The sequence below is a fragment of the Homo sapiens genome, chromosome 5 (assembly GCF_000001405.40).
Source record: "Homo sapiens chromosome 5, GRCh38.p14 Primary Assembly".
Classification (NCBI taxonomy): domain Eukaryota; kingdom Metazoa; phylum Chordata; class Mammalia; order Primates; family Hominidae; genus Homo; species Homo sapiens.
The window spans coordinates 21790421-21810619 of record NC_000005.10 but is presented as its reverse complement, the minus strand read 5'-3'; the positions used below and the strand labels follow the sequence as shown (position 1 = coordinate 21810619).

General features: G+C 34.9%; 1 protein-coding gene across 10 annotated transcripts in view; it reads left to right on the top strand.

The window, feature by feature from the left end:
- Positions 1 to 20199, top strand: part of CDH12 (cadherin 12) — a 1102672-nt gene that overhangs the window by 1042725 nt on the left and 39748 nt on the right. For all 10 annotated transcript variants that reach the window (NM_001364104.2, NM_004061.5, NM_001364106.2 and 7 more), the window contains 1 exon segment: positions 8200 to 8453. In NM_001364104.2, coding sequence (NP_001351033.1) covers positions 8200 to 8453 — 254 coding nt within the window.

Genomic DNA, 20199 nt, shown 5'->3' with positions numbered 1-20199 from the left:
CAGATTTTTCTAGTCTTGTAGACAATTCTAACTGCACATGCCATAGACTTTTCAAATTCACTGTCTAAAGCTGAGTTCTTTCTTTGCTCCCAACAAAAGTCTGCCTACTCATGTTTTCTCCTTTCCAGTTTCTTAAAGCAAAAATCTGTGATTTTTCTAACACCGCTTCCATTCCTATTGACATCCCCTTGCCAAATAGGGCACAAAGGCTGGTTGCTGATTTTTCCAGAACTCAGGTTAAAATTTTCCTTTCTCCACCTATGAATTTGCCATACAGCCCTCTTCCTGACTCCTTTTTGCCACTGCAAAGGCTATTTTCCCAGCCTCACACGTTATTTTCCTCCAACTAATCTTTTTATTCATGGGGGAATGAAAGAAATCTATTTAGACGTTTAGATAGAAACATGTTCATCTTACTTAAATCAGTTTCTGGTCCTACTGATAGAAAGATAAAGATCAAAGAGTGCATTTTCTATTACTAACTTCTGCACACACACACATTTACAGGCATGTTCATATGCACAAGCTACATTCCAAGTACAGCAAAATCATTGCGATGTCTACCAATGGTATTGTGGTTCTCCTCCTTCTGCATAGAACTCCCTGTCCCATATAAGTATCTTCATGAATTCTTACATGTTCTTTAACATTTTTTTCTCCCTTGCTTCTCAACAAAGGCCTCCTAGAGTCCCTCAGGCAAAGTTGATCACTCCTTTATTTTGTCCCCAAATGTCAACATTTCTGTCAAAGCATCTATGATACTTACAAGGTTCTCATATTGAAAATACAACTCATTCCTCCTACTATATTTTAAGCCCCTGGAGGCACTTTTCCATATCTGTGTTTATTTCCCCATCAGTAAAGGAAATGCCTGAAATATATAAGATGTTTAAAATTGTTGTCGACTAAAAGGACAAATATCTTCTGTTGGTTTACTGTTTTCACTTCTGCTGCATTATTTTTCTTTTTACTCACATAGCATGTAAAGTTTGGAACGTTTTGCAAATAATTTAGAAAAATATGTTTTACTGATTCTACAAATAGGAAAGCTGAAGCTCAAAGAAGGAAGATAATTTTTCAAAGTCACACAGCTTGCTGTAAATCATAGTATATGTTTAGAAAGAGTATACTTCCAATTGTTGTGTACAACAATGCATGTTAGAAAAGATAATTGGCCTCCCCAATAGTCATGATTTATACTGTATGTGGACATGACACATATATTTTATTTCAGCATTTATAGTATGTGACGAAACCCTCTGTAATTTTTTAGGGGAAATATCACTAAAAACCTATGTCTAGAAGCACTAGAGTTTCTTGCAATTCTTTTTTGTTTTGTTTTGTTTGCTTGTTTTTTGTTTATCTTGGTTACTAAATTTATTCCAAAAATTACCGCTAAAATACAGGCATTACTATAATGACCATGATTCTTAAGATAATTTGTTAAAACTACGAAAATTTTGCAGAGTTGCAAAACACTAAAGTATAGTAATAACTTGTCCACAGAAAAATTAAGTGCATTTCTAATAAATAGTTTTGTTACAAATATTTTTAAGGTAAGTTATATAAAATGGATGTTTCTTCATTTAAATATTTTTGTTTACAAACACTTTTTGCCTAGTAATTATATGTTTCTTATAAGCTTATATATTATTAATTTTCTAACAAATGGTGTTGAAATTTTGTCCAAACTAAAATCTACGTTTTAAAACTTAACTACATTTCATTGTTTTTCCCTTTGTTACAGGGACATTCTCACCTGATATAGTGGCAACTTTTGTTCATCAAATACAGCTTTTTTATATAAAATATTGAGTTGCAACCTTTTGTCAATGATGATGAGATATGCATAAACTCTCCCACGTCTCTTCCCAGACAAGAATTGACTACTATATTGATCATAAAACTGAGTTTTAGGAAACCTGCTTTTTCATTAAAATGATGCTTGTTCTGAACATCTTATCTTTATTGTTCAGCCTAGTGTAATAAACCTATTTATAAGAGCTTGCTCCTAGTGTCTGTGCATCCTGGTTCAGCCTGGTATAAATCTGTTTTCTAACTGCTTGTCTTAGAAAGAATCTAGTCTGTTTCAGATAAGCCTACATCCTCGGATCATTTGCGTTCATTGACGGTATTCCTTCCCATTGCCTATTAAGACCTACTAGATAATTGAGAGTGTAGAGCCTTATCACTCAAGGATATATTTTCCTAAAAGTGATGGCTTTACTGTGTTGGTAAAAATAATATAGGCTTACTATAAAAATTGAAGTAATACAGAAGAGTAAAAAGTAAAAAGGGACAAAACCACGGCTACAGTGAGTCATAATATGGCATAACTGGTTCCTTTGCTCAGGGCCTTTTGGGAGGAAATCAAGGCGTGATTGGGGCTATGATCCAATCTAAGCCTTGGAGTCTTTTGTAACCTTACTGGTTCCTAGCAGAGCCAGTTCCTCGTGGCTGTTTGTTTTGTATTGTTGTTGTGTGTTTGTTTTGTTTTTGTGGTAGTTACTACTTCCTTGTGGCTCCTATGACAATGTTGTTAGCTCTCGCCAAATATCAGGTTTCAGTTCCCACAGGCACCCCTTGAGCACTTGCCACTTGCCACATAATCTCCTATAATGACAAATTTACTTCTTATAAGGCAGGACGAAAAGCATCTGCATCACTCCTTTCTTTTAAGGGGTCTCCTGGTTAGATCACACCTCTCAAGTAAAATCTCCTTAATTAACTCAATGTCAAGTGATTAGGGACCCTAATTATATATGCACAACTTATTTTTCCATTAAACTTAATAAGTTTATGTGAGTGAGATGTCATTTAATTTACAGGCCTCTCACACAATGAATGGCAGAGTCATTGCACACAGAGTATAGGTCATTGGGGGCAGGAATATTGGGAGCATCTTAGAATTCTGCCTGCTGAAGCTATCATTTTTTCAAATTCCTCAAAATATCTATAACCATAGCTATCCATTTCCACTCAACATTATCTGGAAGCATGAGGAGCCCTGGAAGAGCCCAGGTAGCTATTCTCTTATAATTTATGCCAAAAAATTGCTTATTTCCCTTTGAAATGAGAAAATCTTTTGGCACTTAACATTTCATTTAGTTTTTTGTGACCTGGACTTCAGCAATGTAAGAACAGAGAAAGTAGTGCTGTAATAGCCCAATGGGCTCTTCCTGCCCATTGCACAGACAAAACCAATTCTCTGAGACCATGGTACTGCAGTAAAGAGCTTATCTGACACCAGGCTAGCCATGTGGAAGACAGAGTTGTTACTCAGGTCAGTCTCCCTGAAGGCCCAGAGGTTAAGGTTTTCCAAGGATAGTTTGGTGGGCAAGGGACTAGCAAATGGGTGCTGCTGATTCGTTGGGGATGTCATCATAAGGGTGTAAAATACAGTCCCCCCCATGCTGAGTCCATCTCTGGGCAGGGAGCCATAGGACTGGTTGAGACATATGCCACAAATCTGGGTGGGGTTAGAGTGAAAAACATCTCAAAAGACCAATCTTAGATTCTGCAATGGTGATGTTATCTGTAGGAGCAATTAGGGAAGTTACAAATCTTGTGACCTCTGTTCACATGATTTGTGAGCAGTAAGAGACTATAGAAACTACCTATGTTTTAGCAGAATTCAGGCCACTATCATAATCCTAATCTTGTGGACTTTCTTTAGTTTTGCAAACATGGTTTTGGCCCAGGACCAAGGAGGGCATCAGTTATAGGGAGGGACTACTATCATCCTTGGTTCAAAGTTAAAGTATAAACTAAATTCCATAGTTAGCTTGGGCTATGCTGGGGAATGAGCCAAGACTGCCAGCCTGTGAGGCTAGAAGCAAGATGGAGTCCGCCATGCTAGACTTCCCTCACTGTCATAATCTTTGCAAAGGTGTTTTCAGTGTGGGAGATATAGGCTCTTGGGCCACAAAAGGTTTGCTGAAAAATTACTGACATGAGGGAGATTGATTAATAGGAGAAAAGGCAAACAAATTATTTAACGTGTATATACAGGTGCCTTCAGAATGAAGACCCAATTTCCCAATAAGTTACAGAATCTAATCACCATCTCAAGGTTACAGAAAGAATGGTGGCCCAGAGCATGGACAAAACCAGGTTGTCTTGGTAAATCACGTTTAGTGGCAAGAAAGGTTATGAGAGGGAGAAAGGAAGTGGCTTGGCTACCAAAGCCACTTGTTATGTAAATGAAACCTCCCTCAGAGAAAATAGATGATAGTTATTTATTTTCAGACTTTTAAAATTGTCAGGCTCTCATTGGCTCCTAGGTCTGGGAAAGGCATAGAAAAGACCTGCCCACGTTAATGGGAATTCCTTACAGATGCAATTTTTCTCCCACAAAAGATAGCTTTGCAAGGCCACTTATATTTTCTGGCCCTGTGGCAGACATTTCAAAATACATCAGAGAAATATCTTGGGGGGTAAAATATTTTTTATTTCCTTCAGTGGCAAAAAACAAAGAAGCAAAATTCCCCCCTTCCCCAATTCCTCCCTTGAGTCTCTGTAGAACAATTGAGTATATCATATTTCATTTCTCTATAGTTGTGGTTCTTACTGCACAACTCAATTAGATGAATTGTTTCCTGAACATTCTGGTGCCACTAGTCTTCCCTTATAGAAACAACCTAAAGAGAAAGAAGCTGCTCAACTAAATTCTCTTTAGTCAATCATTTCTTCCCCTTTGAGAGGTTCATAACCATTAAATGGGCTCCAAGCCATGCCACAAAGTTCTCTATTTATTGTGCAAGAGATAAATTAGTTCAACCTCACAATAATGTATGTCTATCATAGAATATGATTTATTTTCTAGCACTGAAACTAATCCTATTTATTCTATATTTATTTCAAATGCTGGGATTTTTATTGATTGTGAAACTAAAGTTCATTCCCCCCAAAAATGGAGGGTAGTCAGTCAGATGTGTAGGTAAATTCAATTAAAGACAGATCACTGCTGGTTCTCTTTGCCCTTTCTGAGCTATATACCATTTTGTCAAGTGGGATTGCCTAAAAGTCAGGGTCACGAAGAAGTAAGTCCACCTAGGAGACTATGGTGGCATTTCTCTTACAATTTTCTTTAGTTCTTTGATCACTACAGGCTATAAGTTTTCAGTTGCAAAAAATCTGTATGTACAGGATTCTTTTATCTTACTCTGTCTCCCTAACAACCAGATATTTGCCTGCTGTTATAGGTCAGGGGTCCTTAAAAGGCATGGAATACATCTCATCTCTTTTAAAGGTTTCAAAATTCTCCTTTCATGTCTGGCTTGAAAAGGAGTTACCTGTAGAGAGTCAAGATTATCTAGATAACAGTAGTGTGTAATCAAGTAGGGAAAAAAAATTAAGATCTTATCTAGAAAGAATTTGCCAAATCATATAGATAATTAGAAGTACTTCAACATATGAGAAAGTAGAGAGGGAAATGGGGAATGATTGGTACAAACGTTTACATTCTAAGATAGAAGTTAATTTTTGCCTAAGAAAGGGAGTAAGTATGAGCCAGGTCAGCTCAATTTGCTTTCTAGGCAAAAGGAACCCTAAGGTGATAAAAATCAAAGTAGTCTTATACTACAAGTTAAGGATACCTAACATAGACCACTTATATTGTTTAACATTTATAGAGCATTTAGAGTTTGGAAAAACAGAAAACATATTTTTATATGTTCCTTAATTTGAATTAGCTAGTGCACGCTTCTATCTTACACATCATTCTCTCTCCGATATCTTCTAACATATTGAATATCTCTTAAACACATGTAATTATAGAGAACTTGGTACTTCTTCAAACTCACTCATTAAGCAAGATGGCAATATTCTGTAATTTGTTGAATGAATTGAGAGGCAAGTCTTGTCTTTTCATCTTTCCATCCTTACAGGATGCATGTCAAGCCTTGCCACCACGTAAAACATCTATGTGTGTGTGTGTGTGTGTGTGTGTGTGTGTGTGTGTGTGTGTGTGTGTGTTTTAATTCACTATAGAATGATTTTATTTATTAGAGGTTTTCTCTTTTTTCTAATCTAAATTTACTCTCGTTAATAACTCAAATTACTATTAATTCACCACTCAGAGGCATAAAGAATAATCCTAAGTAATGTCAACATAATGGCCCTTCAAGTATTTGAAAATGTGTGTCTTTCCTTGCCTTGGCAGTAATTGTAGTGGTTTCTCATTTTTGGCTTTGGTAATATTTTATCATTCTAGTCTTGCAATAAGTTGTCTTTTCTTGAGTCTGATTTCTTCAACAAAACACAGTATTCAAGCTTTAGGCTGATCAAAGGAACATCACTGGGTGATCCTCTCTCTTTTTTTCAGATACTACACTTCTATTCATGTCATCAAAGGCCACATTATCAACCATCGCATATTATGCATACTATTCTTTGCTTATATAGGTATTAAGAGAAATCAAAATTTCTAACAGGAGAAATATGAAAATGAAAGGAAATCAATATTATAAGTTAACAGGTATGAGGTTAGCAAATTAAAATATAGAAAAGTAAAAAGAAAACATTGATTACAAAGCAGATAAACACATAAATAAAAATATGATAAAAGGAATACCTATAGGGAATTAATAAATATAGTTCCTGCTGCATAAAAAAGTATGGTGAAAGAGACTGATGTCATATTCAAGTGAAATTGCTGTTTTGTTATAATAAATTCCATGAAATTGTGAGTTTTCGAAGATTTAAAAGTGTTTTTTTGTTTTTGTTTTTGTTCCTCAGAGGAAATGCATAAAATGGCAATCATATCTTAGAAGGAGAAAAATATCCATCCTTCCTTTATTTTCCCCAGGTGTACTACAGTAAAGGAACAGGTACTGACACAGCAATTAGCAACTTACTGGGGTCAGACTTGAAGGAATTCCTTTAGAAAACATAAATTTTTAAAGGTCCCAGAAAATCACCATGTTAATGTTAAATTCGTGTTGTCTCAGATTTTCTTAGATGATCAGAGGCCAGAGCCATTGACCTTAAAATTATCACTTAAACAAAGCACCACAGCAGCACCATATTTCAGGAATAGTGTATTTTCAGTTATTGTGGACATAAAATTAATATTTAGAGTGAGGGTGCAAGTAAGCAGCGATAAGCTAAAACTGAGCATCCGTGACTCCATAGAAAATGACTTTCTATATTATGTTTCACAGCCTTCTCTAATTTAGTCATATATATTAATATATAAAGCCACAATTCTTGGTAATGTGTATTGATGATGTGTTACCGCGCCCATAATTTATATATACAGTTCTGAGAACACACACACACAAAAATTCTTTTTAAATTAGTACTATGTATGCTTTTAAATACTGATACAGACATTTACTAGTAAAAAAAATAAAAAAAGATCTAGACATCCAAAAGTATTTAATATAAGATGCCATAAAATAAGACAACAAAATATGGAGTTTTCATGGGACCACTTTTTCAATACCAAATTTACAGCTAGAATCTAGAGTATCTTCAATGATCCTATTTCATTTTTATTCATTTTTTTGTTTATCATTGCTTTGTTCCACTAGATGTCAGTATTGGATAAGAGCAGAGAAATGCTTCCCTGAACATCTGTTCTGTTGCTGTTTTAACTTTGCTCATATAAAATGATTAAGCCCTACCTAGCATGTATGTCTGCACGTAAATGATGAGTTTTTCAAACATAGGCAACTGATGATCTTTACAAGTTACCCAGAAACTTCTACATGGACGTGATTCTTTTCTTAAAATGTTTACCTTGCTTCTGTAATCCCAGTCCTTTGGGAGGCCGAGGTGGGTGGATCACCTGAGGTCAGGAATCCGAGACCAGCCTGGCCAACATGTTGAAACCCCGTCTCTACTTAAAATACAAAAATTAGCCAGGCATGGTGGCGGGCGCCTGTAGTCCCAGATCCTCCGGAAGCTGAGGCAGGAGAACCGCTTGAACCCCAGAGGTGGAGGTTGCAGTGAGCCGAGATCACACCACTGAGCTCCAGCCTGGGAGAGAGGGAGAGACTCTGTCTCAAAAAAAAAAAAAAAAGAAAAAAAAATGGTTTGCCTTGTGCTGCCCTTACCCACTAGTTATTAAGAAAAATGAAAATTTTAAACCAGTATAATTGATAATAACTTGCAAATTGCTCTGAAGTAATGTTCACCATTTCTGCCACATTCTATATAAATTTACTCCTTATTCTTAATTTGTCCTCACTACAGCCTTTAGATTTTGAAACAAAGAAGGCATACACTTTCAAAGTTGAGGCTTCCAACCTTCACCTTGACCACCGGTTTCACTCGGCGGGCCCTTTCAAAGACACAGCTACGGTGAAGATCAGCGTGCTGGACGTAGATGAGCCACCGGTTTTCAGCAAGCCGCTCTACACCATGGAGGTTTATGAAGACACTCCGGTAGGGACCATCATTGGCGCTGTCACTGCTCAAGACCTGGATGTAGGCAGCAGTGCTGTTAGGTGAGAAAAAGAAACATTTTTTTTCTATGTTTCAGGAAAACAAAACAAAACAAGAACAAAAACCAGAGAACCAATTCTCTGTCCAAAACTGCATGATGATTTAATTATAGAATATGATGCTTGAAAACATAATGACTTTACATAAGAATAGAGGAAATGTTATAGGATTGGGGGGAAAACATATTATCAACTATTGCAGCAGTGTTTACTAGTGGTGTTATAACCAATAGAGGTCTGATTCTCATGTCACTCAAGGTAACAAATCTCAACTCTTCATGTATAAACGGGATTTAATAACATAACCTTTTAGAGAATGATTCTCATAATTAGTAATATTAAGATACTTTGAAAGTGCCTAGAGTATAATAGACATTAATACATTTTATAATTACTCTAAAATTTCTGACCCCTTACCCAAAGTTAGTGTTTGAAAAAGTTATTGCAATTTGCATGTCATTTTTTCCAGTGTAACAAACTTGTCTACTGTTGTTGAGGTGAAATGAGTAGAGACACAGTTAGAGTCAGTCCTAGAGTAAAATGAATTTATGGAATTGCTCAAAGCAAATGCTTTGCAAGAAGCTGCTTCCTGCTCATCTCTCTCCCACTGTCACTCTCTCTCAACACATAAAGTCCACTAGTACTATCAAGACATAATACAATTTCCCTTTTCCTCATTTATGCATTGACCCAGCAGTATGTTTTGAGACTTTATTTCCCATTCGTTCTATTGTATGCTTGAATTTTCTGCCGCGTGCCTACAGCTGTTGAGAAACCAATTAAAAGACAAGTATGAGATTTGTTCCTGAATCTTCTGTCCCGAAAGAAGCTTACTATGCAAGAACCAAAATAAGAAAATATTAAGTAGGTTTTTAAAGCAAAAACACTTTATTCTATTGACATACAACAGACAGATATCTTGTAAGATTTTACACTATGTGACAAGTAAAGATTAAAACAATGGATCAAGTGTTCAGTAGTATCCTTAACACAGTAATTGCATATAGTGACATCTCAGGAAATGGCTTGACAGCATACGTAACTTGCTCTTTGGATTTATCTGAATCCATCACCTATAATTACATGAATACTACCTCAGTCAGTTCTAGCTGCTACCATCCATTAACACATACTGGATGTATTAGTTCGTTTTCACACTACTATAAAGAACCACCCTGAGACTGGGTAATCTATAAAGTAAAGAGGTTTAATCGATTCACAGTTCCACATGCCTGGGGAGGCCTCAGGAAACTTACAATCATGGCGGAAGGAGAAGCAGGCGCATCTTACATGGCAGCAGGCAAGACACAACGTGTGAAGGAGGAACAGTCAAACAACTTATGAAACAATCAGATTTTGTAAGAACTCACTCACTATCATGAGCAAAGCATGGGGGAACCACCCCCACTCCCATGAGCCAATCACCTCCCACAAGGACCCTCCTTCAACATGTAGGGATTACAATTCTAAATGAGATTTTGATTGGAACCCAGAGCCAAACCATATCACTGGATGACTTAAGTAACAAACACAGTTCTGGAGGCTAGACAGTCCAAGATCAAGCGACCAGCAGATCCAGCGTCTGGTGAAGACCGGCTTTCTTTTCAGCAGGTGGTCATCTTCTCCTTGTTTCCAGACACTGGAGAAAGAGAAAGAGAGCTCTCTCTAGAGTCCCTTTTGTAATGGTAAAAATAACTTCATGAGGGCTCCATCCGGATCAACTAATTACCTCCCAAATGCCCCATCTTTTAATACTATCACATTGAGGTTTAGGATTGCAAGATGTGAATTTTGGGGGGATACATATCATCTCATAAGATTCCAATTCTGCCCACCCCAAATTTATGTCTTTCTTACATGCAAAATGCAGACATCCTAAGGGCCCCCAAAGTCTCAACTTCTTCTAATATTAATTAAAATCCAAAGTGTCATCTAAATATCATCTAAGCCAAACAAATGTGAGACAAAAGGTACAATTCATCCCGAGGCCAAATTCCTCTCCAGCTGTGAATCTCCAGCTGTGAAACCAAATAAATTATGTGTTTCCAAAATACAATGGTGAAGATATTCCTATTCCAAGATGTAGAAAGAGGAAAGAAGAGAGGGGTGAGAGGTCCAATGTAAGTCCAAAACCTAACAGGGGAAACTCCATTAAACCTTAGTCTCAAACATAATCCTTCTCTAGCTCTATTCTTCACCTCTCAGGCCCACTAGAATGGATGTCCCACTTTTGGACTCACTAGGGTGGCAATATAACCTCCACCACTCGGAGGGACACCACCCATGCTGTGGTTCTCTGCAGTGTCCTCACTCATGTGCAGTGGTCACACTCTCAGGGCTCCACTGAGCGACCCTACCCCAGTGTGTCTTCTAGGCATTGATCCCAATGTTTAAAATCATTATGGAAGCAGCCATTCCACAAGCCTGGTGACATCAAATCACTGTTGGGGTGATTTGGAATTCTTCCCTCGATTTGGAGAATTATGAATGCTCATAGCTGAAGAGCTATGTGATGCTATTTAACAGAGCTGAAGAAGTTTGATGATCTTCTTTCATTTTACCACATTTCTGTTTTCTTTAGTACCAGCTGGCAGTGTTTCTGCTATTATAATCTCATCTGTTTTCCTGGCTTTTTTTGAAATAGCAGATGAAGTTCTGGTTCACACCTATACAAATCTTCTTATTAAGTAATCAATCTATCAACCCTTAATGTTCTCTTCTAAACACACTTTCTCATTATTTTGGAACACGGACGGGGCTGAGATATTTCCAAGTCCTTAAGCTTTGGTTTCTTTTTACTTAAAAAATTCATCTTTATTTCATTTCTTTTATTTCACATTTTACTGCAAGCAGTTGTGAGGAACCAAGCTACTCCTTTAACACTTTGCTTAAAAATCTCCTCAGCTAAATATCTAATAATTTCATCACTCAAAAGTCCTTCTTTCCACAAAATACTAGACCATGAACACCATCCACCTAACTTCTTTGCCACTTACTGACCTTTCCTCTAGTTTCTAATAACATGTCTTTATTTCTCTCTGTTAACATATCAGAATGGCTTTTACTGTCCATATATCTACCAACATTCTGTTTATGACTGTTGAGTTGTTATTTGGGAGGACAGAATCTTTCTCTACAGTTCTCTTTTCTTTCTGAACCTTTAACAGAATATCCTTGAACATTCATAATTTTAGCACTTCAAAACTCTTCCAGCCTGTACCCCTTACTCAGTTTCAGAGCCACTTCTACATTTTTAGGTATTTTTTATAGCTGCACCCCCACCGTTTGGTACCAATGTCTGTCTTAGTCACTTAAGGCTGCTATAACAAATTACCGTTGATGGAGTGGCTTCAGCAAAAAACATATATGTCTCTTGTTTCTGAAAGCTGGAAAGGTTATGTTCAATGTGCCAAGAGATCCATTGTCTAATAAAGGCCTGGTTTCTATTCAGCAGAAAGTCATGTCTTTGTATCCACACAGCAGAAAGAGAAAGAGAGCTGTCTGGGTCTTGGTTAGAAGGGCACTAATCCTATTTATGAGGACTCCACCCTCATGACCTCCTTACCCCCACAAAGCCTATCCATATATCATACATTGGACATTAGGATTTCAACATATGAATTTTGGGGAAACATAAACATCCAGTCCATAACAAATGCTTTTATTCTTGAAGAGAATCAGTAATCAGGAGAGAACTCTAAAAAAGCTCATCTGTCTTTTAAAAAGAAATAAGTATAACAATTACTGAGCACCCGTACATTTCAGGCTGAATGCTAACCAATTTACTCACTGAATTCAAACTATTATTTTACATTTCCATATTACAACATGATTCACTTCCAGTTAAGTTCCAGAAAACCATATATGGTTTATAGGGCTATATGCAGACACACACACACACACACACACACACACACACATCCACATATACATTCAAATATTTGTTAGGTATTCTCCAAAATCTGCTGCCTTGGTAATTATTATGTATTAACCTAACATTATTTATCAGTCTTTTATTTCTGAAGCCCTAGGATGTTCTGTTGATAATTAGAAAAGTAGAAGATGCCTGGTGAATAGATTTACAGGTCTTTTTTAAATGTGAACAGTTATTGAAAAAAAATTGAAGGTTGCAACAAAAATAATTAAAAGGTAAATGAAGATTAATTAAAACTCTCTGCAGGTCAATAAATAAGAATTTACATAGAGAAACTATGTATCTAGAGTAGAGAACATGCTATGTTGTTTAATTTACTGTTTGTTGTATTTTGAAGACATAAAAGAATGATGAGGCCAAAATATTAAGAAAAACATGATTTTAAGGCAATACTTAAGAACTAGAAAAATCAAAAATTTCCTAAGTAAAAAACATTATTAGGTAAAGATACACGTTCCAAATTCAAGAAAATTGTTACAGTCAAGACCCTGGTGTGAGGAACAGAGAAAGGTTAACATGAAAGAAATTCTCCTGCTGTAAGTGTGTTTTTTATTTTGTACATTTTATGTCACAGTAGCTAGTATCTGACAAGTGCTACTTTATATGAAATAAAGTAGTATACCAAGTCTTAGTTCTAATGAGTCGCAGTCGGCCCACTTGACACAGATGGATCTAATTGATCTCCACAAGGGGTTGTCAAAAGACAGAGCTGTTTTTGAATCAACATGAAACCTGTCTTTGTTCCATGTCCTTGGAGTGAACAACAAACTGGAATAGTGTCAGCTAAGGAAACATGGGGTATGAGGCATCATCTTTCCTTGTTCTGAAAATGTGTTTACCCGCTTAAGAATGAGAGTGAAAACACCTTGTGAAAACTAAGAATTAAAGTGTAAAATTACTCGACATGGTTAGATATGCTGTTTGTTTTGTTTTCCTTTGCTTAACTGTCTTTTCACAGAGTTATTGTGCAAGATATTAATTTAGGACCTTGGGTATTTTATCATCATCATCTTCATCATCTTCATCATCATCATCATCATCATCATCATCACTAAGCACAGCAAAGAGCCACATCAATGCCACAACCAAGGACTGAGCCCGTTTTGAAGAAAGGTTCTCTCAGGTTTCATGACTAGCAAACACACCCTGTCTGGTTCCTTACTCTCACCCTTTGGCCCCAGCTTAATTTCTAGTTATTCTTCACTTTTCTAGCCTTCGCCTTTTGATGCACTAGATTTCTTGTTTCTAATGCTGTATATTTGTTTGAGGTGAACACTGCTATTATATAGTTCACAGAAACAATTTCTAGTGAGTCAAACGAGACTGGATTAAGTATATCCAACATTAGTGAAGTAGGGGCTTTTCATAACAGCAAGTTCTTGAGTTTAGAAAGTTAAAACTGTTGATTATCCAGTTACACTGAAAGATATTATTTACTTTGAGTATTAGTGATTTGGGTTACAGAAAGATTTCAGTGGGTAATTTTGCTCAATATGTACCACTTTTCTTTTGTTCCAAACGTATAAAAGTCTGTTATCCTTGGAATAAATTTAAAAATAGAACTTAATCATATTTTTATTAAATTAAAAAAATAGATTATTTAATTTTAATCCATGTCAAAAGAATTAAATAATAACAGAATGATGATGTAAAGAAAATCTATTTTATGTATATAGACTTGCATATATAAACTCAAAATTACAGTGGTTAATAGTGCAATTTAAAAGTGTACAGATTGTTCCCCGACTCATAAAGATTCATCTTACAATGTTTTCACTTTGCAATGGTGTGAAAACGATATGCATTCAGTAGAAACCATATTTTGAGTACCGATACATTCATTCCTTTTTCCCCTTCAGTTCAGCATTCAATAAATTACATAAGATATTCAACTCTTTATTATAAGACAGGCTTTGCGCTAGATGATTTTGTCCAAATGTAGGCTAACGTAAGTTGCTCAAACAGGTTTAAGGTAGACTAGGCTAAGCTAGAATGTTCAGGAGCTTAAGTGTCTTAGATGCATTTTCAACTCAAGGTATTTTCAACTTATGATGGGTTTGTTGAGATGTAACCTCATGGTAAGTCAAGGGGCATCTGTATTTGTCATCTTATCTATGCTTTTGTTTAATGATCTTTCTAACAAAAACCCGTCACTTAAAATCAAGTAGGTAATTTAAATAATAATCAGAAAACATTTTCAACTACCAAAAGTAGAATACAATGTTAAATTATACTAATTAGTTGTTAAAATAAAAATGCCTGTTTCCACAAAAATGATCTTATATTCCAAATCTAGTCTTTTTACCACACTTTTGTAAAAATTGCTGTAATCAATTGGAATTGATTTTTAAGAAACTCTCGATTAAGAAAGTATCAAAGTAGCTGGTTTGCATTTGAAGGTCCTTTTCAATATGACAGAAATCTTAGCATGTGTGCAAAAACGTAAGTTCAGACACAGCACACTTTGGGAGAGAGAAGAAAGAGAGGCCCAGCTATCATGTGACATTCTATAGCAGTATGTATAACTTCTATTAAATGTTTGAAAAAATGCCCATGCTCTCTTTCTCATCTACCTCACAAGATTTTTGTGAGAATTAAATGAAGTATTGGTATAAATGTTTCTAGAGCAATATCTGGCATATTTAGTGCTACATATGTGATTTATTTTCTTCTGCTTCCCATTAGTATATAAACTGCACAGCAGCAGAGATTTTTCTACATTTTTATTGATAGATCCCACACACCTAAAATATTGCCTAGCGCAAGTGGATAGTTAATAAATATTTGTTCAATGAATGACTTGACCTATATAATACTAATTTCAGCTAAGTATTAAAATGGCATAGTACTCATTTGTGTTTTCTGCATGAAGAAAAATCAACACAGTTACTTCCTTTATAAATCTAGAAAAATATCTGAGAAACTATGATAATTTCAGTATTTCAACCCTCAGATTTGTTCCAAAATGTTGGATCACAATTGTCTCTAATAATTAACTGATAGGAAATGCTATCTTAAAAAAAATCACATTTATTTTTGTATGGATTATGATCCTGTAGCTTTGCAAATAATCATGAACTTGTTGTCAGATGCTTCTTTGATGATTTTGAGAATATATACATTATATTAAGATTCACATTGTGAATACTAAAGGAAATAGATATGATATGGAGGTCTCAAAAAAGATGAACTCTTTTATCTTAATGAATGTTCTATAATATATATGGATAATATTCTTCTTCCAATACCTATATGAATATTTAGTACTTTCTCAGAAAGCATGCCATGAAAAATAAAAGTAATTTTCTACCAACTGAATAATAAAATGTAAAATGAGAAAAGCTGATTAGAGTTATACAAAATGAGAAATTGGGCTCTACATAAAAAAAAACATTTTAAAGTTCACATTAAGAAAAAATAGTGTGTTAGTTTCTATAACAAAACTATTCTTCATGAATTACTTTACTAATTCTAAGTGAAGGCAACTGCTAGCTTTTAACAATAGCTAGGACTCAAAGTACCTCTAAAAAATATATTATAAATTCTTAGATCATTTGACTGTATACAGGAAACAAATATACAGAAACAATGCAAAACATATTAAATGAAAAAAATAGATATTTTGTACAAATTGATGGACATAAAAGAAAAACAGAAGGTTTGATATGGAATACCTCAAAGAAACTCAGAAACAAACAAACCAATAAAAGGAGATGTAGAATTTAGAAACTGCAGGAGTAGCTGAATGTGTTAATCTCTGGGGATTTTGCCCTACTCATCTTTTTCACAACTGTGGTATACTGCGTGTTTAGGACCCGCAAGAGAATTATTTCTCTGAAGTTGGTTTTTGCATGAAGTCTCTTTGCAAATGTGCTGATGGTATTTAGCTTGTATTAACTCCATTTATAGAAGCAAAGAAACTGAAAAATCATTTTACTAAATGAAAAACAAAAAAAAGCAAACAAGAAAGAGAAGAAGAAAAAATTTGCTAAGAAAATAGAGATCAACTGGACTACAATTTGCCAACAGAGGTTAATCCCCATAAAGTTCATGCCAGAACACCCAGGTGTATGAGCCCTTAAGAAAAAAAGACATTATATTTACACATCTAGATATAGATCTACCTATATTCGATTTGAAAAAACTCACATGCACATATCCACATACATATACATGCTATATTTTATTAGTACATTGCATTATACACTAGAATATATCTTCTACATCAAGAAAAATTTTTAAATTAATTTTGCACAAAGTATATGAAACCTTATTCAGTATAGTCCCAACTATATAATAATAATATTTATATATTAAAATAGTTATTTTAAATATATAAACAATAAATAGAAAATGCTCTTCTTGAAAAATACTGTAATAATCAGTGATCAAAAGGACACAAGAGAAATGAATCATTTCATAAGCTGTTCCAGAGCATTCAGTTAAGGGAATATGAGTAACTTTCAGAGCGCAAATTAGCTAAACAGTAGACTAATCACAAGCAGGAAATGCAAGCTTAGGTAGAAGGAAAAGGAGGAAAATAAAACCTTTCTTTCAAATATGATGTCTATATTTAGGTTTCAAATGGTAAGCAGCTCTACATAAAATGGCACCATTCTTCAGAGCCATTTGGCCATGACCTAATAAGAGTAAATAAATCCAGTGGTGACTTGGAATAACAGGCACTGGACTTAGTTCAACAAAATAGTTATAATGAAGCTCTCTCAAAAGGACTTCAGAATAAATACGTTTGAATATTCAAAAATGTAAATTAAGGTATTCCATGTTTGAAATATGACCAGGACATTATCAATAAGAAAAGTCAGATAAAATAATTCAATTTACACATATAAGTGCACTGTATTATGAATAGAGCAATATATTCAGTAAGGAACTCTTCATACTTGAAAAAAACTCCCTGTATAATGAACAAAACAAAATAGTTTGTTTGCTATTCTCATTTGAGAGAAACTGTTAACACCAATTCAAATAGGTAGTAAGTAAAGTTTAAAAAATGGTACAGTTTTGTAAGAAGGAAGAAATAGATGCTGTCTAGAGGGATTCAGCAAGTCTTAATGGGGAGAACATGAGCAAAGCAAAAAGGTGCCTTTGATTTCTGAGGAAATTAGGAAAGTTCTGTGACATGAATGGGAGGAAAAAAAATTGAAATGATCTGACAACCAAGTCCAAAATAAGGGACTTCTGAAGTCCCTAGAGTCAAAGATACTTCTAAGCAGAAGATATCAGATATCAACGTTTACTGCACACATTCTTTACTTATTTAGTCAGGTATTACAGTCTGCATTTTTTAATATCTGATAAAACTGAGACTCAGGATGTTTAAAGCTGTTAAGTACAGAGCCTGGACTTAATCATTATTTGTCTAAACCTCATTTTCTTTCTATTAGAGCAAGCTGCTTCAAGGTGTCCGCAGAGTAAACTAAAGGACAGGTGTAAAGCTTTGGGGGCAGAAGAAGTTCTTGTCAAAGATAAAGTTATTTTTGCTCTGAGTTAAAGACAAAATACAGTGGTCAGATAACCAACAGAATGGCAGAGGAGAAGAGAGTTTTGAAGTTAACTTCCAGTTCCGTAAGAAACCGTGTATGACTGTTCCAAGAAAAAAAAAAAAAAAAAAAAGGGCAGAGGAAAGCTTAAGCAACTTGGAGGAAAATACAAATACAACAATTATAATTTCAACATTATGTAGATTATGGTATATTTCTTCTTCTTTAGAGATCTATTTTAATCATATTGCATGTGTACAAATGGGAAATTTAAAGACAGAAGACTTACTTTTATTAAATGATATACTTTTGTAAATAGTTTCTCATCAAACATTTAAAACAAGCAATAGAAACCATCTAAACCATTTAAGATACAACTTTTAAGTCTAGTAAGGGGAAAGTAAAAATGAGGAGGAAGATAAGAAAAAAGAGAAATTGATAGGAAAGTAGGAACTGGTGGTTTAAAAAGTTTGAGAGGAACATAGCGGGATTTATTTGTGATTGCTGATGGAGAAATTACAATTGACATATTGTTGCAGGTGGCTTAGGTACTCAGTAAAGTGTTTGTTAAAATGAATTGAACTGAATTTACTTTCTTTAATTGTCTTCCAAAAGGCAAAACAAAAACATTGGCAACTAAGAAGAGATAAGAGTAAAGACAGTTTGATCTACTATCATTATCTTAACAAAATAACATTTTCTACTTTGACCTGTGTCATTATTAGCAGATTTTTATTGTTTAAACAATGAGGTGTAGTACTTTCAGAGGAATTTGGTACCATCAAGTTCCTTTTACACATGTAGTTGAGAACTGGGGCAGGGTCAAAGTTAGCGTTTCCATTGATGGTGAGAAAATTATTAAGCAAATTGAAAAGTACAATTTTAAGGGAAATGCTTACCTAATAAATAGAATAAAAATTTTAAAGGCGTTTCTGAAAACTAATTTACAGTATAGGAATAAAACCATACTCTCTCAAATGGCCTGCGCAGACTAGGTTAATGTTTTAATTTCTGATTTCTATTCAAATGTTAAAACCTTTTTTTTTTTTAGCAACAATCACTGTACATAATTGTATGAAATTAGGTTTATTTTATTATATACAGATTATAATCATATAATCGTTTTTTCACTTAAATCCCATCTACTCACCAAATAAGTATGAGATGAGTCAAACATACTTTCTGTTTAAATATTTTGCTCATTGAAACTCATCTGTTAGGCCAAATTACACAGTTCATGTTATACTGTTGTGATTAGTTGCAATTCCAATAATATTTTATCCTTAGATTGTAAGTAGACTGTTGCAACCCAACAGCAGAAACACGATGTTTCACTCTGTGAGGCTGTAACTCCTCAAAATTTCTATGCCTTTAAGAACTGGGCCATATCTTTTCCAAAATTGTCCAGAAAATGTAGGAATGGTTTCATTGCAAGTTCATTGATGGTCTTTTCTTATAAATGTCTCTCAGTTGCTATACTGGATAAAATATCACAATAGAAAATATTTGTGCTTTAGTCAGGCACAGGTTTTAGTCAGTCACATATAGACAGAGCACTGGGAAGATGCCAGGAGCTAGTATTAGGCCTGTAGTCTGAGACCTGGCTAACTATGAGAAGATGTTGAAGATGCTTAGCTGAGTAGGAACTGTTCAAATGGGTGTCAGCTATATTCCAGAAGATATAAAGCTTTGTTGGAGGGTATCATGCAGAGAAAGGAGCTTGCTAAGTCTCACAAGGTGACAGAGATAAAAAATAGATACCAGAAAGTAGCGAATGACAGTCAAACAGAAGCACCATTGTGTGAAATAGAGCCTGGATATTTGTGTTTATGGTTTGTACTGTACGAGTTTGTGTGGGAGCTTCATAGTTCAAGTACTAGAAAGTTGAAGGTTATGTGTGCCACGACTTGATGCCAGATAAGAAAATGTGTGGGTAAGGAAGAGTTTTTATCTGGGAAGTAATACAAAATAGTATGAAAGGAGAGGGAGAAAGGGGGAAAAGGACATACACATACACTCACACGCTGATACACATGACTCTATCCCTATGCAACATATACTTTATCTTATTTCATTTTTATAACAACACTCATGGTTACACTATTAGGGAGGTATTATTTTCCAAATTTTATAGAACATAAGGAGAATAGATATTGGAATGAAAGATCCCTAAACTAATTGCACAAGGTAAGTGAATAAAATGTATATCACCCTAATTCTCTCTATACAAAAAAATTACTGTGCTTCATGCTACATTTCATTGCATCTCAGTGGTGGTTAATCTATGTATTGCAAATTCTACTTCAGCATT